Genomic DNA, 24,231 nt, shown 5'->3' with positions numbered 1-24,231 from the left:
AGACTCCAGAATCTTACTGAGCTACAAAGAGGGGCGGGAGAGTGCTGGGTCAGGACCATTCTCTGGCATGAGGCCCAGGAGTGGGCGGGCATTTGGCCCTGGCTTGTGGAGGAGCCATCAGAGCAGCCTCTGAGAGCTCAGGGCTCCCATCTCTGCTGCAATGAGGAACACTGAAGGCTCTGTAGCCTTGTCCTGAGCTTGACTTAAGGAGCCTCACTTTGCCTTTAAGGACTTTAGATGGGACTGAAAAGACACTAAGGTTAACAATAATATAGTTAACACTTTACACGCAGCACTGACCCTGTGCCATGCTCTGCCCAAGCCTTTACACAGAGAAACTCATAAAACTCACGAAGCTTCGGGGCAACCCCATGGGGCAGGCACATACTCTCCGGTGTAGGCGAGGAACCCAAGAGGCAGGGAGGTGGGATAACTTGCCCAGCAGTGCCCAGCTACAGCGGGGAAGGGCAGGGTTCAAGCCCAGGCAAGCTGGTCTCTTCTCGTGGTCTGGGGTATGCTTGCCCTAAAACTCAGTACCTAAGCCACTCTCCCACTCGGCTGCACATACAGGCTTTGGCGATGGGATTCGGACGGCAATGTGGATCCCCGTGTCCCAGGCAGCAGAAGCCCCCAGTTGGTAGCCTCTGGTCCGTCCCGCCCCGGCTGCCGGCGGAGTCCGTGACCAGGAAAGGGCATCCCAGGCAGGCTCCGCAGAGCAGGCGGGGCGTCCCAAGAGTGCGGCCCGCTGCGCCGTACCGCCCTGGCGCCCTCCACACCGCGGCGGCCGCCCACTGGCACCCGGGCCTCCCTTTGGTTGCAATAGCCATGACCTGCCCCAGAAGCCCAGCCCTCGGAGGACTGCGGCAGAAGGCAGGGAGCTCCGCGGGGACGCGGGGGCGGTCGCCGGCTGGGCTCTGCGCGGGTTGGCGCCCCACTCTTTCCCACGCAGTGACCTCTGCTGGTCCGACTGAGCCTGTGCAGCTGGGAAGGCGCCTCCAGGGCCCCCACAGACCCCTGCAGACCTCCTTCCCCAGGCCAGGGAGCGAGGACCCAGGTTTATTTCTACAGGGCTGCAGAAAAGTAGAGCCACGTGGAGAGACTCAGATACACCGGCTTCCGCAGCGCTGAGTTCCGACCGCCCCAAACAATACAAACGCTTGTGGAAGCCTCTGAGAGCATCGGTCCACCGATCTCTACAACGGGAATGCTGATTCCTAAGCCCAGGGTTATTTCAGGGTTGAATGTGGTGAGGTTTGCTAAGGTTCAGACTAATGTGTGGTGGTCATGGTTACAGGTCCCCATCCCAACACAGGCAAAGACCTAGCCCACCGTGCGGGGGCTGCTGATCCAGGCACATGGGGCTTCCAGCCCTGCTGCTCCTGCACAGTTCCCTCCCCCTACATAAGGGTACCCAGAAGACGGGGTCCTCAGGCAGGTCCTCCCAGGAAGGTTCTCTCCGCACTGGGTCGACCAATTCTCTAGATGAACTTGGGTAAATTAAGTTCCCTCTCTGGGTTTCTCTCTCCCCATCTCTTAAATGTGGGGGATGGATTTGTGGTTCCTAGGTACTAGACCATCAGTATCCAAAATGCCTGTAAGCTCTTTAGTAATCCAGATTCCTAGACCTCCACCTCCTGGGATTCTGATTCAGATGATGGTTGTAGAGGCTGGGAATTTGTATTTTAACACCCTCCCCAATTTACTCGGACATCCAGCCAGATTTAAGAACCACTGATTTAGAAGTTCATAAGGTCTTCTCCTGCTCCAAGATTCAATAACCTTAGACTTAAAGAAAAGGCCTGGATTAATGCCTGAGCCCCAGTCTCCAACCTAGAGCAGGCCACCCTCCTCTCAGAAGGACAGCTCAAAGACGTTTCTCCCTGTCTGCTTCTCCTTGGGAGGATTTTGGAAAATGATCCCTAATTAATAGACACTCAGTTGCCCTCCCAAAATTCGTTTCCCTTGCCTTTCTTGGTGAGAGAATTCCAGTTTTGTTAAACTATCTCTTAATCACAGAATGTGATATTAATTCTGATTTATCTTAGCCAGTTGTGGTAATTCCATTTCCTTGCCAGCTATTTATTCAGCAATCATGATGTGAACCAGTTTGGGCCAAGGAAACAGGAAGGGAAGTTTGTGGAGAGGGGTGGGGATTAGGAAAGGTTACTTTAAAACAGATACAGGCCAGGCAAGGTAGCTTGGGCCTGTAATCCCAGCACTTTGGGAGTCCGAGGCAGGTGGATCACTTGAGCCTATGAGTTTGAGAACAGCCTGGGCAGCATGGCGAAAACTTGTCCCTACAAAAAAAAATTAATTAATTAAAAAAAAAATATATATATATATAATTAGCCAGGTGTGGTGGTGCATGCCTGTGGTTCCAGCTACTCAGGAGGCTGAGGTGGGAGGATCACCTGAGCCCAAGAAGGTGAGGGCTGCAGTGAGCCATGATCGCACCACTGCACTCCAGCCTGGGCAGCAGAGTGAGACTCTGTCTCAAAAAATAAAAATTGTTTTAGAGAAAAAGAAATACACTCCCTCTTATTTACTCAGATAACTCATGACTGGGCATGATGTCCAGAACTTCAGCAGTTATCTTTCCAGAGTGAGGGGATAGTTTGAGGACAAAACCCCTAAGCAGAATGGAAAACTGGAAAGAGCCTGTTTCTTTCATTACATTGTACAGCTGCTAACTTAGCCAACATTGGAGCCATTTTTCCTCCGGGGCTGGGTTTTCTATTACAACAGAAAGCATCCTCACTGATATACTCACCTTCTCTAAAACCCTTTGCACAGTGATTGGTGGACGGGTTTTCTATACTAGGAATCATTCATCCTTCATGCAATCCATCTCATTCTCAAAGCCTATCCATTTATCTCCTAAATAATTCTCAAATTAATTCATCTTCCTACATCTCCACTGACACCATCACTATGGGAGCCATTGCATTGGCCTTACAACTGGTCACCGGTGTGCACCCTTCCCTCTTCCCAACCATCATCCACTCCAAGTCAAAGTGCTGACCACGTCACCCTCCTACTTCTAACCCTTGAATGGCTTCCTGTTCTTCTAGGACATAATCCATACTGTCTGCAGCCTGCAAGGGCCTGTGCCTTCTGCCTCTTCCCCACCTCTTCAGCCACACCACTGTGTATTGTTTCTCCCTCAGTCTCTGCCTTCCAGCCACACTAGCCTCCTTAGCACTTCCCAGGCCACCTTCACTGAGGAGCCCCTGATGTGATGTACCCTCCACCTGGAATTCTCTTCTCCACTGCAGTCTGCTTCACCACCCCTCTCAAACATCACTCCCTTAGGAAAGGAATCCACAATAGACCAGGGCCCCCTGTTCTCCCTGCTAAACTTTCTCTCAGCCTCCTGAACTTCGCCTTCAAAACACTCATCCCAGTCTGAAATTATCCATCTGCAAGATTATTTGGCCAAATTCTGTGCCCCGTCTAGACTATAAACTTCACAGCTCCAAGAACCCTGTTTTTCTTCCTGGTCATTTAACCCTAGCACTTCTCACTCTACCTAATAGCATAAAGCAAATACAGAATACATGCTTGTTGAATAAACAAACTCTCACTTTTCCAAACAAGTATGGTGCTAATTTTCAAACTCCACCCCAGAGCTTTAGGCAAATAACTCCTCTTCAGAACAACTCTGTTCTATGAAGTCAGAGAAAGTAACAGATGAGACACAAAGGTTTTTCAGATAAGCAGACCAAGGTCTCAAATTTTTCAGATTAAGCAAACCAAGTTCTTGGGCAGTCACTGGATTGTCAACCGTCCTTATGCATGCTCTTTCTGCCAGGTGCTGCTCAGAGCCGAGGGTCTATCGATAACTAGGGCACCGTCCCTGCCCTCACAGAGCTCCCGTCTGGTAGATTTTCCCAATGCTTTCCTCCTTTCTGCCCTCCCCTGACCCAGTTCTCCATCTGTCCTCAGAGGCACTAAAGGCAAGGCAAATGTGACATCAGGACATCATGGGGCCCTGTTCCTGCTTGAGGGTGACTTAGGGACCTTCTGACACTCTGGTTTGGAAGGACAGAGAGGTGTCCACTCAATGCTGACAAGAGGCCAAAATAGGAGGCTTCTGGCCACTCCCTCTTGCCTGTTAGCCAAAGGAATAAGGCATCACAGAGTGTTTCTGATGTATAATGGATGTCTCATAATTGCCTCAGTTTCCCCAACTTTCTTCCTCAGAAGCAGGGATTTCTAGGAGATAGTAGACGGAAATTCAAGCGTCATCTCAGAAGAAGATAAAAATTCTATGGAGTGCTCCTCAGTCCCCACCTTCAGTGCATCTGTTCTTCCATAAGTGGGGGCCAACTTCACTGGCCAGGGTGGAGCCACAAGAACCCCTCAGGCTGAGGTCAGAATGACAGGAAGACTGAGGAGGAGCTCAGGCAATGGGTGGGGTTAAAGAGAGACACTGAGGTCAGACAGCTGGTCAGGTCCCACTCTCATGAGGGAAGTGCCGGGAAAGGGTTGAAGATGTGGAGCTGAGAGATCCCTGGGCATCTCCCAACCATAGACTCTTCAACTGGGCACAATTACCCCAGCCTGGGCACCACAGTTCAAGCTCCTGAGTCCACTAGGGCCTTTTTTTGCCCTACCTGCCTCAGATGTCCCCACGGAAGATGCCCCATCATCAAAGAAGCCTCACAGATCAGCAGGCACTGAGGGCTGGAACCAAAGGGAATGTGACACTGGAGAAAATGCCATGGGCTCCTTCCCCTGAGACCTCAGGTGATTAATCTCTGCAAGGTGAGCTGGGGGTGGCAGCCAACTGGGAGAGAAGGAAATTGGGAGAGAACATTCATTCAAGGAAAGAGGTACTCTGTAATTTCCTTAATGTATTCTCTCTCCTTTCTCCCTCCTCCTCCCTCCCACTCCCTCTTCCCCATCTTTTCTCCTTGCTTCCACTCTCCCACCTTACTCTTCCCATCTCTCCCTCCTCTCTCTCTCTTCTGTCTCTTTCTCTCTCTCAGCTTTCCCTTCCAGCACAGAAAGTCTTTATACAATTAAACTAGGACAAGAATGTTTTCCAAGGCTTTAAAATATCCTTGTTAAAGAAATTCACTGGGAAGAAGAAATTGTGCTTAATTTCTTAGAAAATAAAAAGCATATGGTAGAAATTGATGTTGCTTCTTCCCCTCCTCCAGATCCCCTGCCGAGGAGAGCACATCTCAGGATCACCTGTCAGCCACATCAAGCAGGTGGGGCCAGGATGGTGATGGCCAGACAAAACTTTGTAGTCTCCCATCTGCCTCCTATCCTGCGGTCTGCTTGACAGGTGAGTTTAGGGACATGGAAAAGGACTTTGAACATGTGTTTGCTAGAGAAAGAAAGGAACACCACCTCCCATCACCTTCAGGTGGTCCTTCTTCCCTCATCCTGGGCCAGGGCTTCCGTTAATCCATGTGGGCCTAATTCATCATCTCAAGGACGGGTGTTGCCACTCAAGCCCTGATCCCTAGGCCCACAGAGCAGCTGTTTGCAGGGGACAGGGCAATATCCACACTGTGTACAAGGACCCAGTGAGAGGCAGAATAATGCCACCTCCAAAGATGTCCACATCCTGATCCTCAGAACCTGTGAATATGGTACCTTACATGGCAAAGAGGACTTTCCAGATGCAATTAAATCACAGATCTTGAGATGGGAAGACTAGCCTGGATTATCCAGCTGGGCCCAATATAATTAGGAAAGTCCTTCCATGTGATAGAGGAGAGGCAGGAGAGTTGGAAAGAGTGCGAAGGTACAGTGTTGCTGGTTTTGAAGGTGGAAGGAAGGGCCATGAGCAGAGGAATACTGGCAGCCTCTGGAGGCTGGAAGAGGAAAGGGAATGGGTTCCCGCCTAGAGCCGCAGAAGGAGTGCTGCCCTGCCAGCACCACGAGTTTAGCCCAGTGAAACCCAAGCCAGACTCCTGACCTCCAGAAGTATAAGAGAATAAATCTGTGTTGTTTCAAATCGCTAAGTCGGTGGTAATTTACTATAGCAGGGATAGAAAACTCATGCATCCCCTCAAGGTGCCAGACAGAGCCAGGAGTGGGAAAAGAAGGCGGTTGGCAAAAGGGGTCGTAGACACAGAACAGGGCCAGAGCCTTCTACCAAATTGTGACAAGATGGGGGAATCCATGGTCCTGAATTTGAACATGACCTCCCAGGTTGTTACAAAGGTACCTGTGTCAAGATAGGAAGTGAACACATTTTATGTAACAGTTTGTTAGCTTGACTTTTAAATATTTAGACATATGGTTCATAGGCCACCATGTGCTCTCTTGCCCCAGGCCCTGAAATTGTGTGCAAGAGTCCCTTTGAGGAAAGGCTGAGGATTAACTCCCTCATGGTCATTTGCATGTAGGCCACCACCTTCTATTAAAAAGCAAATGCTCAGCACCAACACTGTGTCGTTAGCTACCAATGACCGCATGAGAGAATGCCTTTGACACTCAGAAGGCTAAGGCTGCCTGGACAGGGTATAATGTCATAGCCACCCTAAACTCTAGTCAGGCAAAATGCATATGCCATGAATTTATTACCATCTCTGGGATTCATGGTAATTAGGCACAAATGGTGGTGTTTGGTTGTATTTTTCTTGTATTTATATAGCTATGCCCCTTCTTATAGTTTATACCTTCTTACTTTGCTGCATCTCCTTTATTTATAACTGGCATTGAAGGAGATGGTATTTTCTCATACTAAATGTAATAGAATCCTCATCCTATACTGATATTCACATATATTAAAAGATATTTCTCCTTTCCATTTTCACAGTAGCCATGATTTCCTGCATCTTTCATGCCTCCTTCCTCCCAGCCCCACCATCTGTCATGGCCAAGTCCTGATATTCCCAGGCTCTCTACCTCTCCTGCCCAGGTCTCAAGTCCTTCCATCTCCCTGGCCACCTGCTCCTGCTCCCCACCTCCCACCTTGAGGGCCTGGCTTCCAGACAACAGGAGGCAGGGTAAAGGCTAAGGCCTTCAAGGGGGTCCAGAACAGCAGCAGCAATGTAACGACTATAGGGAGAGGTAGGGCCACTTCCCAGGATGCCTTCCCCTTCTGTTCCATCTTCTTCTCTCTTGATGAGTTCCTTATCTGCCCAGGACCTTCTGGGTTCTCCACGGCTGTCTGTGCTTTGCCCTAAAAATGATATCAGTTAGTATTTACTGAGCACTTTCTATATGCCGAGTAGCTTTCACATACACTGTATCTTTTGATCTTTACAGTAAGCCCGTGTAGTGGGTCTTATTACATTCACTTCCCAGGTCTGAGGAGGATATGCCCTTCCCCACACATCTGATCAATTGCTATCAGATACCTATTCAGATGAATCTGCCTTCCATCCAGTCAGCTCCCCACTACTTATTAACTGACCAAAGACTCATCATGAAATTTCAGGCTGCAGGTGGATAAAGCATTCCGGGGCTCAGAAAGGTCTTAGAGGCCTACTGCAAATATAGCTCCTTCCCATGCCCTGTGAATATCTACTAAGGGCAGCTTGTGCTGAAGGCTCTTACCAAGGCTGTCCACGAGAAGAAGACCCGTCCAGGCTACTGTCAGACCCCAGGTAATGTTACCAATCTTGTAAATAAAAATACAAAATGTCCAGTTACGTTTGAATTTCAGACAAGCAATGAATGACTTTTTTGTACTTCTGCTAAAAAACCATTCATTGCTTACCTGGACTTCAGCTGTAACTGGGCATCCTCTATTTTGTTTGGCCACCTGAGGCCCAGTCCACTCAGGTGTGGACTTCAACATGACAAGTGGAGAGAAAGCGCAGTTGCAGTTCCCTTCACTCACCACAGGTGGGCAAAGAAGGCCTGAAAAGGCCAGGAGCCTGCGCTGCTCGGGAGAGAAAACCAGAAGCCCATTTACTCAGAGCTGCCCTTCTCTCCCCTGCTGATTCCTTGTGCCCTAGGTCACCTCCTGCCCCTTCTCCTTCTCTCTGTCCTTCTTCCAAGCCACCACACCCACCATTGCCCACAAAGCTGCCACAGCCAAATGGGCTCTTCTTTGCTGACCCCAGCATGCCCAGGTCTGTGATCCAGATAATGCAGGTCAACCCGGGCCACCTTCATCTGCGACCTGAGGGGCAGAAGTGGGAAGGTGGCCAGGTCCCCAGGCCAATGCACACTCCTTCCAATACTGGAAGATACCTCCATGGCTCACCAGATCCTGGCCCTGAGAAACTGAGGGCTGTCCCTTGTTGGTAGAAGGCTCTGGATCAGAAGTCAGGACAGGCAGGCCAGAGGCCCTGACCTCACTGCTGGTCTCCCATTCTTTCCACCTTGGTCCCTGGGGAATGGAGGTTCAGGGGTGAGGGGACACAGGACATTTCCTATTTCTCAAAGGAAACTGTGAGCAGATAAAAGCAAGTATTTTTTATGTTTGTCTTCCTTGAATAAATCTTTACATTAAAGGAGGGTCCAGTTAATTATCACTTTGGCTTAAACATTAGGTCAGCAGATGGTTGAGGGAGATAAGAAAGGTTTGCGGAGGGACTGGGGCAAATAGTGAAAGGCCAAGGGCAAGAGGCTATCCAGAAGCCCCCAGAGGTGCCCACTGGAGGAAATGACCCAAGAGTATAGCCTGGCTGGGCCAAACTCCCATAGCTTCTGGGGTTATAAATCAAGGCCAGCAGCATGTCACTTGCATGGCTATGGTGAGGATCACGTGTAATAATGCGGGGGAGCGGGTAGTAGGATGTAGATGCCACAGATGTTATCATTGGAGGACAACCTCTCGGTTTACCAACTGTGTGGCCTGAGGTAGGGTACTCAACCTCTCTGAGCCTCTTGTAAAACTCTAACATGTGGATCAGATTTTCTTTTGAAAGAGCAGGATCTAGCACACAGGCTTGTTGAGAGGATGGAAGAAAGTGGTACGTGGAAGGCACTTAGCCCAGTGTCTGGCACATTGTAAACTACAGTAATCAGCTGCTATCCAGTGAGACCTCTTCGTATTGTCCCAGATCAGAGTTGTGAGTACAGCAGGAGCCTCCTATCAATTGCTGCTATTAAACCATATGAACAGTTGCTGCCTGGCTGGCTCTGTAAGAAACCTCTTTCCTAGACCTCAGGCTGCTCAACCTATGTCCACTCAAGCTGACCACAACAGCGACCAACTCCTGCTGAGTCCCTGGACCACGTGACAGCTCCCAAACACAGGGACAGAAAACCACACCCCACACCCTGACAGTGAAGCCTAGTGGTGGAGCACATGGGCTCAGACCCAGACTGCCTGGAATTAAATTCCAGCTATGTCATTACTAGCTGTGTGAGTTTGGGTCATTTATTTAACCTATTTGTGCCTCAGTTTCTTCATGTACTAAACAGGGCTCATAAGGCTGTTGTGGGAATTTAAAAAGTTAACAGATGTAGTAATTTTAGAGCAGTTCGGTAAACAAATATTTATCAAATGCCTACTCTGTGCCAAGTACTAGGAGTCTAGCAGACAAAACAGGGAAAAATGCCTGCCCTCATGGTATAAACAATTACAAGATAAATGCACTAGTGGTAAGTGCTAAGGGATCAATAGAGCAGCAGGAGAGAGACAGGCTAGAGTGGGGGCTGCAATTTTGAGTAAGTAGCCAGGGATGGCCCTGACAGAAGTGGGCTAGGCAGACATCTGGAGGACAAGCATTCCAAACAGGGAAGAGCAAGTGCAAAGGCCTTGAGGTGAAAGGATGCAGCAGTATCTAAGGAACAGCAAGGAGGCCATTATGGAACAGAGTGAGCAAGGGGGAGAGTGCTGGAAAGGAGAAGTAATGGGGCTGGGAAACATAAGGCCCCAGCATCATTGAAAGGACCTTGACCTGCACTCTGAGTGATGTGGGAGCCATTTGAGAGTTTTGAGCAGAGGAGACATGAGTTCTGTTTTTACAGGATCACTTTGGCTCTTGTTTGGAGAATTTACTTCAGGGGAATTGAGAGCAAATTGCAGAGAGACCAGTTGGGAAGTTACTGGAATAATTGAAGTGAATGTTTATAATGGTTTGAACTAAGGTGGGACAGCAGAAGTGTCAGGATGAGGACACATTCTGGCTATATTTTACAGGTCAACCAATATGACTTGCTACAGATCAGATGTAGAAAGTGAGAGAAAAGAGGATTCAAGGAGCGCACCAAAATCTTTGGTCTGGGCAACTGAAAAAAATAGAGTTGCTGTTTACTGACATTGTGGAGATACCAAGAGAAGCGGGTTTGATAGGGGGTATCAGAAGATTTGTTGTGGAGGCCAGCCGCGGTGGCTCTCACACCTGTAATCCCAGCACTTTGGGAGGCTGAAACAGGCAGATCATTTGAGGTCAAGAGTTCAAGATCAGCCTGGCCAACATGGTGAAACCACATCTCTACTAAAAGCACAACAATTAGCCGGGCATGGTGGAGCACGCCTGTAATCCCAGCTACTTTGGAGGGTGAGGCATGAAAATCACTTGAAACCAGGAGGTGGAGGTTGCAGTGAGTGGAGATTGTACCACTGCACTCCAGCATGGGCATCCCTGAAGATTGTGATGGGGTACATGTTGAAATAGCCCTATGCTAAGGTAACCCTCCAGGTACAAAGCCAACAAATCTGTCTGCACCAGGCAAGATATAGATCAAATGTCCCAAAAATCCATGTGCAATCACCTGGAAGATGACAGGATGTGACAAGATCACTAACACATCCTGGAGGGAGAGCAGACACTGCAAGACCAAATTCAACAACCTCCTAGTCCAAGAAGACAGATGGAGTGAGACTCCGTCTGAAAAAAAAAAAAAAAGAGAGAGAGAGAGATTTGTTGTGGAAAAGAGATTTAAGATGCCTGTTAGACATCTAAGTGGAGACACGAGGTCAACTGTGAGATACACAAGCCTGGAGTTCAGGAGAGAAGCCTGCACTGAGATAGTTTTGAAGTTGTGAGCATGTAGAAGATATTTAAAGCTGAATGAGATAACCAAGGGAGCAAACATAGATAGAAAAGAGGTCAAGGGCTGTGCTCTGGCCCACTCCAACATTAAATTCAGGAAAGCTGGGAGCACCCAGCAAAGGAGACTGAGAAGGAGTAGCCAGCACGGTCAGCACGATCCAGATGTCTGTAGCTGTTATTGTCTGTTGTTGTTGTTGGTATTGTCACTGACTGCATCAATGCAGCACTGGTCCTCAGGTCAGAGGGGTGCTGTCTAAAGCTAAAACAGAGTGGTCAAAGGATCTGAAAATCAGAAATTGTCCCAGACAAATTTTGTCTTTAGACCAGAAGACCAGAACCAAAGAAACACAAACTCGGTATGTGATAAAAGCTGGTGCAAGAAGGAGAAAGGATCTTTCCAGGGAAAAGTAGAAACAGGAAGACATATTACCCATGTATAAAAGGGAAAAGAGGAAGAAGGGGGGAAGTCATACCACTTCCACCCCCTGCAGCCGCCCCCTTCCATCCAGCTGACTGACAGCATAACAGGAGACAATGAGAAGACAAGCATTTTTCAAACTGCTGTCTTCATTTTAAAAGATCAGCTATAATCATATAATTGGGTGCCTTGTTTGATGGAAGAATAAAAAGTCACATTTGACTGGGGCAAGAAATAATTAAAGAGGCCTTTTAGGAACGGTGTTTCATAACTAGCTGGCCCCTTTGACTTGTCCCCTGAAGGCACAGAGGAAATTGTGAATGTTTGCCAAAGGTGTGAGGGATTGTATTTAGATTCGCAGAGGATGGAAGACATCCCTGAAGATTGTGATGGGGTACATGTTGAAACAGTCATATGCTAAGGTAACCCTCCAGGTACAAAGCCAACAAATCTGTCTGCACCAGGCAAGATATAGATCAAATGTCCCAAAAATCCATGTGCAGACACCTGGAAGATGACAAGATGTGACAAGATCACTAACACATCCTGGAGGGGGACCAGAAACTGCAAGACCAAATTCAACAAACTCCTAGTCCAAGAAGACAGGAGGGAGATGACAGATAGCATGGATCTTAAATTACCTGATTCATGTTCTTGAACAAGTCACATGTTGTATATATATCAGAGAGCCACCTTTTATTGAGCACTCATGGACACTGAACTAAACTGCATAAACTCTCTTAGGAAGATAGTTCCAACTTAATAAGAGTATTCCAACAACAACATTGTGAGTGTATTTTGGCTTAGGAGGGGTCAACTGACCTGCCCAAGATCACCTAGCTATTAAGCAGCTAAGTTGGGCCTTGAGCCTGGGACTGGCTGTCTCTAAAGTACATACTCATAATCTTTACAACTGCCTCCTTTCTTGGGGTTTCCAGGCAATCATCTTCCTGTTCTCTCCCAGCCATGCTCCACCACCTTCTTTATGGCCACTCCTGCCCACTGAAGCCCTCACTGCCAGTAAGCCCTCAGCTCCTACATACCTCATGATCAAGGCACAATGATAGGCATATGATAGATGCTCAACAAACACTTCCCGAATTAAATATCTGGGATCAACTTGAATTGGATTCTCCAACATGAAGAGTGAGGAAGCTCAATCCCAAAAGATTGAACCAAAGCCATTGATGAGCACAGAGGAATGCTGAAGTGGGACACTTTTCCACAAGGCTCTGAGGAACACTGAAATAGAGCCACAGTTGCTCTTGGGCCATCACTGGTCTGCCAGCATCAGAAAACTGATTCATTAACTGTATGACAACCCCCATTCTGTCACCACTATTGTGTCAATACAGTGTCAAAGAAACAGGCCAAGTAAGTGTGTTGGGGTTGGGGGAATGATCACCGAGGCCCTCAGTGCAGTGGAGACAAACAAATCTCGCTTGTCTTATGTTTTATCCATTTTAACTCTTCTGTGATGTTGGGCAGGCATGACCCATGCAGAAATACTCTTTTGCTTTCTTGTCCTGAATATTGGGGGCTCACATCATAACCTAGGCATACCCTCTAGTCATGAACGTTTTTGTTTTAATGAGAAAGGAAGAATCCTGGAAAATTGTAAAGCTTCATCCAGAGGGTTTATAATCTCAACACAAGGCATATCAAACAGACTACACCTGTACCAAAGCCATATTCTCACAGCCAAAACCTAGACACATGGTTGGAAAAAAAGATTTTTAAACTACTTCCAGAACCAAGACACACCCTGGGGATGTAATATAAATGACACAATATAGATGACACAATGGACATTACAGTGATTTATGGAAACATGTGATAGCATATTTGAAATTGGAACAGTACCCATAAATCCAGGATATATACGGTCATGCCATCAAAACACAGACTATTGATGAAAGACATTTTGCCAAACCATCCTGCAGGCCTGGAGTTACAGCTCAAATTTTTTAACAATAGGTTTATGAAAAATCTTCAACCCTAAGTTAATAGACTGCTTATTAGAGCGATATTTTTGGACCTAAGTCTTACAAGTTGTCCAAAAATTCAATGGCATCCCATTCTGTGACACTGATTCTTCTTTCCTGAAGCTAACCAGTGGACAATGAGGCAACACCCAACATCTCAGCACCAAGGACAGAGCTCAGTTAATCAGGAAGTGATGTCCAGTTTCTCAACTCTGCAGTCAAGAAATTTTTGTTTTGTTTTTGTTTTTTGTTTTGAGACGGAGTCTCACTCTATCACCCAGGCTGGAGTGCAGTGGCGCAATCTCAGCTCACTGCAGCCTCCGCCCCCAGGGTTCTAGCAATTCTCTTGCCTCAGCCTCCCAAGTAGCTGGGATTACAGGTGCCCACCACCATGCCTGGCTAATTTTTGTATTTTTAGTAAAGACGGGGTTTCACCATATTGGCCAGGCTGGTCTCGAACTCCTGGCCTCAGGTTATCCACCCTCTTCAGCCTCCCAAAATGCTGGGATTACTGGTGTGAGCCACCACACCCAGCCATCGATAAATTTTTGTAAGTTCAAAATGAAACCACAGAATATTAGTGCTAAGGGCAAATGAATAACTCAACATTTTCATTTTACAGATAAGGAATCTGGGTCCCAAAGAAATCTAATGGGCTATTTAACATCCCAGAGCCAGGGCACTGGACCTCAGGCCTTCTAGCTCCCAGCTCTGCACTCTTTCTCTGTACCATATTGAGACCTGGAATCACATTGAGATCATTCCATTGCCCCTAAAGCTTCCCAGAGCTGTGAGGACTCAGTTCACATTAGGTGCCAAGAGTGAACATATTTTGGAGGAGGGAGAGAGGTAGAAAATACAAAGGAAAGAAATCTCCACGGCTCCCCAATCAGGAAAGCTTTTCTTATTACATTCTGGGAGTGTGACCAGTTGGAAAGACAGTGCAGGTAATGAAGCACAAATAAGTGGATTTCTCCTGCCAAGATCACAGCTTGAGAGAATGGATGGCAGAAGGGAAGCCCCAACCAGCCAAACCCAGGACTGAGGAACAGGGTTTACAGACCATTCCCCAATCCCAAATCTCAGCCAGCAGCACATGCTGAGACCCCAATGGGCATACACAGCACCAGGCTCTTGGTGCTAAACACAGGCATGGCACCTGCCCTGAGGATGTACTGAGGCTATTGGCTATTCCACAGTGAGAATGAATCTGTGGCTCTCCTGTGTGGAGGATTCAGGGGCTGTGTGAGTTTGGACAACTTATGTAAACTCTCTAAGCCTGAGTGTCCATGTCTATAAGGTAAGAAGGTTGGAGTAGATAGTCTTGAAAGACGCTTTCTGAAACAACATCCTAGTATTGTCTTTCTAAGTGAGATATAGAGGACTGGAAAGGTACCATTAGATAGCGTGTCTTTGAATATGTGGGTAAAGCTTAGTGCCTCCCCCCTCCAGTTTTTTTTACTAACCATGAGCAGTCACTCCCCTGATCTCACCCAAGACTTGCATATGCCTGGATAACAACATTAACCATAGAAATGCAAAGAAAGGTGGATATTAATTCAGAGGCTACATGAGGCCAGCTGGCTGGACATCAGAAAGCAGCTTTTATTCTGATGAGCTCGTTGCCAACAAGGTTTTAGCTCTCATCCTTGCAGACTCATAAACTCAAACTCTATCAGGATCCCGAATCAAATTTGATCAGATTTGGGAATACTGATGCACACTAACACGGCTGCGATGAAGACCAATAAATAAGACCAGAATGTCAATTAAATCACAAAGAGAAATATAACTGTCAAATGGATTGGAAACTTATTCAAGCTGATCACAATCTCTCCATGGGAGCCACATTATAGAAACATTGAAGAATTGACCAAGATGAGTTAATTAAAGCACTTGATTGCCTAATGCTATTGGGCTTTTCTAGCCTGCCATGTGCATGTTAGGGCTTACTCATCAACAGACTGGCTCCTCCTAACATTTGCCAGATGAGCTCCATCCAGACAGGAGTGAGATAGGCTCAGCTGATTTTACCTGACTAATTCTCCTTTCTTCTGCTTCAATTTCCAACTAATTTCTCTTCTGACTGATACAGTATTCGTGTATGTGTAAACCCTGTATTCATTTACCATTGAGTGTTTTTGGTCTTGTTCACATTCGCTTTCTTTTACCTTTGTGTCTCTGCTCTGATCCATCATATATTAATCATGTAGCTTGACTATTACCTTCTTGCCCAGTTTGGGAATTGGAGGACAGATATTATATCAGTTAGATATTGTAACATTACAGACCACCCCCAAACTCAGTGGTTAAAACCACAATCATTTATTTTTCATGCACCTGTAGGTCAGCTGATGTTGGCCAGGTTTGCTCCTATATCTGAGGGTCTGCTGGGAGTCAGCTGATCTATGCTACAAGGGAGGTTGAGAAATAAGGTCTTTCTTCTTGCAACTTTACGCCTAACCAAAAGTTATGGGGTTTTTTGCATTGTTTTGTCCTGTTAGATTTTTTTTTCTTGGAGACAGGGCATCGCTGTCAACAAGGCTGGATTTGAGTGCAGCAGCGCAATCATAGTTAACTGCAGCCTCAAACTCCTGGGTTCAAGCCTCCTGGGTAGCTGGGACTACAGGCATGCACCACTTTGCCCAGCTATGTTTTTTTGGATTTTTATAGAGAAGGAATCTCACTTTATTGCCCAGGCTGGTCTCAAACTCCTGGCTTCAGGCAGTCCTCTTGCCTCAGCCTCCCAAAGTGCTCGGATTACAGGCCCAAAAATTATGTTAATAAGAAAGAAAGGAGAACCAATACTTAGGGACAACAAGTCACATATACCATGAAGGGAATTTCAGTTTTGTCCTATAGCAGATGTTGAGTCACTGAAGAATTTTGAGGAGGGGAGTGACAGATCTGATTTGGATACTGGAATAACTCCATGGGCTGCTGTGTGGAGAAAAGACTGAAATAGATTACTAAATCTCTGGCCTCAGAAAAGACCCTAAATTAATAGTCTTTCCTACAGGGCAAGATGACCTTCTATGTAGCCATCGTTCTTCTCCCCTCTCCCTTCCCGCAGACTCAAACTGTCACTCTTGACAGTTTGAGTAAGGAATCAGTGTCCTGGCCCTGCTCAAGTGGGGCACTGCCAGTGCCGGGTTACCTAACAAAGTAAAGAGAGTGACCCAAATGGATCTGGGTTCTTCTGCCTATTCACAAAGACCTTGCAGGGCCCACCCAGAACAGGCAAGCAGTTCTCATATTGAACCATTGTCTACCAAGGGCCACCTTTGGGATGGGAAATACTGGATCAAGGGGTTTGCTTTGTGGGTCAAGGGGTGGGCAGGTGGGTGTGGGGTTGGCATCACTTGCTCACAGAATGTGGAGTGGGGACTTGTCCAACCCCCAACCCAGCCAAGTCAGCCATATTTAAAATAAATGTTAAGAAATGACTCAAGTTGTTGAGAACACTGTGGTTGTTTTTTTAATACTCTTCTACTTTTTTACAATTTTTCTATTGTGACTATGTATTTCTTTTTAGATAGGAGGAAAATAAAAAACAAAAGACTCAAAATACTGGCCTGATGCAGCTCTGATGGAAAGGAGGACCCCTGGCCAGAGAGGAAGATTCCTAAGGCTCATCAACCAACCACTGCAGGGAGCTTTCAGATTTAGAGGAGAAGCCCCACTCCCCCTACTAAACCTCTCCAACTGGAGCTGACAGTCTTTGCCATTGGCCTGTGAATGTTCCCTTCCTCCTATTGGTCAGCCTGGGGCCCTGACCCACCCCACACTCCAAAATTCTGTTAATTTCATCCAGCATTGTTCAGGTGGCTCCTGTGCACCAGGCCGTGAGGATACAAAGATGACTAAGCCTTGGCCGGCATCCTGGAGGAGCTCACACGGAGAGACCTATTAGGACTGGCCTGCACTAGCGGTAGGAATCTGGCTGGAGCTGAACGTTCACACTCTTTTGGCAGATGGAGATGGAGGGTTCCAGGCCAGAAGGGAACGCCTGCAGCGACAGAGCTGAGAAGGGAGCTCGGATTTTATGTGACCACCCCCACCTCCTGGGAGAAGCCAAACTACAGAAACAGAGTCCTGGCCTTGCCCTGAGGACAAAGACCCAAAATGTGCCTGTACCTAAAGCACCCTCCCCTTTCCACCATAGGACTCAGGGGCGGGAGGGAGGGAGGGGGCTGCCTCCAACCTTGCTCACTGCTCCGTTGTTAGAAGAGGGATCTACAAATGACGGAGGCAAGGGTTTGCCCTGCATGACTGCTGGACTGTGTGGGCATTTTTCATTACCAGGCTCCTTCAAGATGCTGATGAGAATACACCCCCATAATTACACCCCTCCCCATCTTACAGCTTCCTCAGGGATGGGTCTCCCCATCCCCATCCTGTCACTCTTGACAGGTTGCCATGTGGTCAGTGGGTTTCTTTGTGAGGGTCAGAGAGGGAGGCCTGGGCCTGCTGAGAGGACTGAGCTCCCATCTGCCTTCATCAGACTGGAAACTGAGCCATTCAGAACCTCATCCAATGTGTTTTTTTCCAACCCAGTTTGATTAAAGTCAGTATCACCTGAAACCCAAGACTAATGTATGTCGACAAGGACTCCCAGGTGGCCCCCTCGGCCAGGACAACTCTCCCTCCCTGCAGCCCTTTGGAAACAAACTCAACAGGCAGGAGGCGCCATTACCACGGGGCCAGGAGCCGGGCCCTTGCTGAGTGAGACCGAGACGCCACTCTGGAAAGTCTCAGGGCATCAATATTTCATGCCGCTGGAGCTGTCTTTGTTTTTATGCAAATTGCTCAGGCTGCCAGATGGGCAAAGGCTGGCAGCGTCATCCATCACCAGGCTGTTCCCTCGTCAGCAACCTCACCGGCTGCCAGGGCCCTGCAGGCTGGCCTCAGCTGCGGCCCGTCCTCTCAGTCGGTCTGCACAGCGGGACACAGCCCCATCCTAGACACTGTGGGAGACGCAGGGGAAGCCAGAGTCCTTGCTCCAGGGGACTCACAGATGGACGACTCATAATGAGATAGGAGGCAGCTCGTCACTTCAGTGTGAATCTGCATACCTTTCATTTTAACCCACAAACCTCCACCTGTGTGGAGGGCATAGCAGGGTATGATCCCCCAGTTTACAGATGGAAAATCAAGGCTCAGAGAGGCTAAAAGAATTACCAGAGGTTACCCAGCAAGTTGAGTAGTATAGCTGGTCCAGGATGCACTCCAGTACTCCAAGGTCTCATCTCTCACCTAATTCTGCTGTGAACTGTGATCTCTGCCCAATAGGGCCCTGCTGGACTGAATGAGTCAATCTGAGACAGAGGGGCTGGGATCAGAAGGCCCTGCCCCTTCTTTCTCAGCCTGCCTATGGTCTGCATGATTCCCAGGGTCTGTGGCTTCCTTTCCCCATAGCTGGACTGCCTGACCCTAGTAGCACCTCAGTCAGGCACAACTAACCATTCCCTGGTTCCCAGGGCCTGAGCCCACATCTGGAAAGCCAGCCAGTGGCTGGTTCCTCCTGCAGGAGGCTTAGGGCTCTGCTTTGCCCTTGCCAGTGACTGCCCATCAGGATCTAGTATGAGAGATACCCCAGTGTTGATGCCTGGTTGTTCCATTATGCCAGGACTCCATGGGGTCTCTGGGCTCTGCCATGTGGGAATACCTTGCTACCTGTGCCCAGCCTCCAGCACTGCCTTCTTAGCTGAAGCTGCACACCTTTCAGATTCCTCAGTGTGATACCCTTCCTAAAACTACTGCCAGCCTATCCCAACCCCATCAGTGGGTTCAGTCCCACCAGCCTGCTCCAGTCTACCCCTTCTGCACCAGTCTCCCTGACCATACAGGGACAAGGCCTCAGTCACAGCACTCAGTTCAGCCTGGTCCATCCCATATCGCCAGAATTCCAGGTTAGTAATGATGATAGGAGTGACACACAGTGGAGGACTCTCCAAGGACAAAGCCATACATCCCAGGAGTAGAGCCTGCAGGGATTGGCCAATTCCCCTGTGATGTCACTAGGCTGCAGCCAGCTAAGCCAAAGGCTGCTGTAGAACAGCCCTGCCAAGGGAAATCAGAAGACCTGCCAGTAACTCACTTGGGTGACCTTGGGCAAATCACAGTCCTCTGTACCTGTACAAGTCAGGAGTAGGATCAGCAGCTTCTGAGGCCCTACTAAGACTCTGCATCCATGGGCCAGTGGTCACTATTCCTAATTGCTCTCTTCCCCCTTTTACCTCTCCCCTAGGACATAGCGAGAGTGGGATGCCATAAATGACTGAAGTCAAGGTTGTAATGGTCCAGCAACATTTGCAGAATCCTGAAATGGTGCACAGAATCCTGAAATGGACAATCACCTGGAAGCACTGCTGTAGAGGGACTTCCGCATTGAGAGGGGACTGGAGCCAACTACTCCCAACACCTCCTTTCCAGAATTCCAAGTCTCAGGTTCTGTTCCTCCTAGAGAAACCAGGAGCAAAGTTCCATGGGCCATGTCCTGTGACTGCATGGGTTCATTTCACTCTTGCATCACAACACTCTAGCAAAGTAGACAGCAAACTCCCCTTTTGAGTTGAGGAATTGAGACTCAGAAAGGTTAAGAAATGCACCAGGGCCACAGAACTTTGGTCTGTCTGAGTCTAAAGCAACTCTCCATTATACAATGTTGTGTTGAAGGGTTCCTGATGTCGTGTAGGCCAGAGCCTTCAAGCTTGGAGTTTGCCAGATAAACCTGGCTGACACTCACATCCCTGCCTTCTTTTGCACGTGCCTGGAAGGCTCTTCTCCATATCCTTCTTCCACTCTACAAACAAATCTCTTCTCTGCTTTGGGAGATTCCATTTATTCTATATGACTCAGCTCCAGCTGCTCCTGAGAGATAAGATCTTCCCCTCTTCCCTTTGCTTAGCTCCATCCTCCACCCCAGTTGAAGTGCACCCTCCTCTGTGATCCCATAGCAAATACTTCTATTAGTTTCCTGTTTATTTCACAGCTCTGTTTATTGAAAGCTTGCCAGGCAGTAGGCTTAGAGCTAGGTGCATATACATGCGATATTCATCCAGTCCCCTCAGCATTCTAAGAGGTGGCTCTTGATATTTCCATCTGACAGTCCTAGATCTACATGTCTTTTTGCTTTTTGTTCCCCTCTCTCCCAACTACATCTCTGTCTTCAACACTGAGCACAGTGCCGGAGTATACATTAGCAATCATGTGCTTGTATGAAGAGAATCTGCTTGCACCACTAATGTCCTCAGGTGCTGGGAGACAGTTTGGAGCGGGTCCACGCTGACCTGGGGCAGTGAAAATGAATCTGCGACCCTGAGCATTCAGGCCTGATGGCAGTTTGTTCCCTGACCTTGCAGAAAACAGCTTCTTGTTCACCTGCCCCTTTTGACTCACTCTCTCCCTGCCTTTGGGTAGCCTCTCTCTCTCTCCTTTCCAAGTCTAGTCCCAGCTCGTGCTGTTGGGGTGATTGAAGGGTCCCTGAGGTGTACACAGCCCTGCTCATCCTTTTGCCCCAGCAACCGGAGGACAGGAGCTTGGGTCAGAAGGGCAAGCCTAGTCCGAAGCCTGAGAGGCCCCAGGATCTGATAGGGGAGTTCGTTTTTCATGGCTTAGTGTCCAATTGGTCAGGTAGAGGCCCTGGGCCTTTGGCCCTGCTCCAGAGCTGATGTTGGTAAAAGACCCAGAGGTCAGAGTAGAGAGCAAGGAGATCAGTTTCTTGAGCAGGGACCAAATTGGGCTGTGTCACTTGGCCTGCATGCTGGAGAGAAGGGGGCCAGAAGATATATCCAGTGGGGTCAGAGCAACTGGACCTCTACTAGGCAGCATTGGAAACATTAACAACTATAGCCACTAAGGACCAGACTGCTGTGGAGAGCTAGGGAGGTCGAAGGAGCAGGGAATAAAGGGACCTAGCAGTCGGGGTTCAGGGCCCTGCCCCACCCCTAATTCAAGCAGAGCAGCTTCTCTTTTGTTAGTTTTATTTCAGATTTTCATGCAAAATTTCCTTGGAATAAAGAATAATAATGATGATGGTGGTGATGATGATGATGATGATAAGAACTCCCCCTGCCTTGGATTGTAAATGCCCTGGGTCTCAAACCTCAGCTCCTTTTTCATCCTTGGTCATCCAGCCTCAGGCTTAGCCAGGTGAGGAAGCTAGCAGCGGGCACCCCAGTCAGTGAACAGACCACACTATCAGTTTTCACCCGGTTGTGGCCTGTATGGATGCTACCTAACCTAGAGGCCTCTCTTGCTGAGAACCTCACACTCCAGTCATAAGAGACTCGCTCCTCTGGCCTGCCATTGCACTCAAAAATCCTCCTCTCTTAAGCCTGGAACCCTGACTTTGAAAAAAAAATCTTCCTCTCCTTGAATGCCTTTATCACCTGCACCTTTTTCCTTAGCCTGGAGTACTTTTCCTTCAGCTCAAATGCCACATCCTGGGGAAGCTCTCACCGACCCTTAGGCAGGGTTAGCCCCCCACCCACTATACTCACTGCTGCCCTGCCCATGGTACACACCTTTTAACACAGTTTAGATTCACATTTTGGCACTGCCATCTCAGGAGCTCCCTGACCTTGAGCAAACCTCCCTCCCTGGTGACTCAGTTTCCCCATCTGTAAAATTGAGATCATCATAATACCCGCTCCTATTGTTGGGGAGTTTAAATGAAGTCACATAAGTAAAGCACTAGGCTCTGTACCTGGCACATTTTACATGCTCAAAAAATGTTAGCTGCTATGAATATTGTTATTCAGTGAATTTTGGTAACCAATTTTGGGCTCTGTTTCCTGCACCTTTTCCCTGTCATGGCTTTAGCACACACAGCTCAAATGCATTTGCATTTTCTTCTCAATTGACTCTTCTGACAAGGATGGCAGGTTCCTGTGACAATAAGAGTAGAGAAGCAACGTCAGGAAGAGGAAAAGAAAGGAGAAAAGTGGGGTTTTTTCTAACCATAGAAAGCCTTCTCACCCTGCCTTATGGCACTGTGTTATTAAGCTGCGATCCCCACCAGTGCCTGCCGTCTTTGGTCAGGGAGCACAGACCTCTCTGAGAGCATCCTAGCCATCTTCCTGCACACAGCAGGATGCAGTTAGGTCCCCCTACCCTGCGGTCCCTGGAGCTTGTCTGATCTCCTCATGGTGAGTGTGCCGTTCATTGCCTTCTTGTTGGGCTGCCTTCTGGACCATAAGCACCTCAAAGGCATCTGCATTTGTTCCCCCTATAACCCAAGCACCCAGCAGTTTCTTTGCCCAAAAACTGGTTGTTGATTAATCGGAAAATTAACCAATTAATAAGTCACTGGAGGTGCTGAGAATCCTAGGGCCCCTACTCCTCATTTCTCTTGGATTTAGGTCTCTGGAGCTACTTCTCAGAGCCTCCAAGATAAGAGCAGCTGAGCCCCAGCCAGGTTGAGCCCAGCTACCCGGATGAAAAGGAGGTACCCTGAGCCACTACCCAGGTGAGCCACTCCTGTACCAGGACTCAGAGCTGGGAGAAAGGAAGGGTACCCAGGCACCAAATGGAATGATGTACAAAGTCTGTCAGGAGCCTGGGTTAGAGTGGTGAGGACTGTTTGCTCTCTGTGTTTATTCACAGCTGGAACTGACACTACAGTGCCCACCAGCGGCAGCTCAGCTGCCCTGGCATCTGGAGCCAGGTGTGAGCCAGGTGTTCACATCTCTCCCAGGCCCAAACAAACCCCTTAGATGCCAGGAAGCTGGACAAGGCCTTTTCTCTGGCCACAGCTATGCTCCAGGATGGCAGCCTGGAGGTCAAAGGTAATGACTAGCTGATAAACCTTGACAGTTATCTTGTAAAGGACGATATACCACTGGCTCAAAGGAAAACAATTTTTAGCTGTGGTTATTTACAAAGCACCCCCACCAATTTCTGTTTGTCTCTAGGGTTCCTGTGCATGTCCACCTGTTTTCTCCTCAACAAAACAAAACAAAAAACTTCCCAAGAACCCAAGAGCATCCTGGTGGGATTCTGGAAGATTGGGCCAATCCAAGATTCTTTGCAGATGCTGGACATTTAACTCTATCAAACTGGTAGGAGTCATTCCACTCCTACATATTTGCTCAAAGGAAATGAAAGCATAACCCCACACAAAGACTAAGGCATGAATGTTCACGGCAGCTTTCCAAAAACTGCAACCAACCCAAAAGTCCAGCAGCAAATGAAAAGATAAACAACTTGTGTTATATCCATTCAGTGGAATACTACACAACAATAAAAAGGAATGAACTATTGATACATTCAACAACATTAATGAATCATAAAATATTTCTTCTGAATGAAAGGTACCAGACAAAAAAAGAATACATGCTGTATGATTCCACTCATATAAAATCCTAGAAAATTTTATCCAATCTGTAGAAAGCAGATCTGTAGTGAACTGAGAATTGGAATGAGGGAGAAGTGACAGGTATTATAAAGGGACTTGAGAAAGCTTTTCAGGGTGATAGGGATGTCCACTGTCTTGATTGGTGTGGTGGCTTCATGGGTATATACTTATGTCAAAACTTATCAAATTGTACACTTTTAATATGTACAGTTTATTGTATGTCAATTTTATCTAAGTAAAGCTATTCCTACAAATCAGGTCGGAGTAACAATTGCAAAGTTATGTCCAGGGCACAGCCTCAGTTATGCCAATGGGTTCCACTCTGTATCCCAGCACCCAGCACAGTGCCAGGCACACAGGGGCACAACAAATGTTGCTGAACCTAGTAAATAAATCGATATTGTCCTATTTGACTCATTTGGCCCAGGAGAAACCTTTCCTCCTGGCTTGATCACATCCACTGAGATGTCTGAAGAGCACTCACAGCTTTAGGATGATTAAACGGATCCATGTTAACTACCTAAGCGGAACTGTGAGCAGAGTGCA

At 47.8% G+C, this 24,231-nt stretch overlaps 1 annotated feature.

Moving 5' to 3' along the window:
- Nucleotides 723-882: a silencer, noted in NCBI's record as "silent region_1175". NCBI's record gives its function as "represses an Ori minimal core promoter by ATAC-STARR-seq in GM12878 lymphoblastoid cells {active_cell/tissue: GM12878}" and the evidence as "EXISTENCE:reporter gene assay evidence [ECO:0000049][PMID:35858748]".

This window comes from Homo sapiens, chromosome 1, assembly GCF_000001405.40.
Source record: "Homo sapiens chromosome 1, GRCh38.p14 Primary Assembly".
Lineage (NCBI taxonomy): Eukaryota > Metazoa > Chordata > Mammalia > Primates > Hominidae > Homo > Homo sapiens.
Note: the sequence above shows the minus strand (reverse complement) of the source record. Positions and strands in the feature narration are given on the sequence as shown.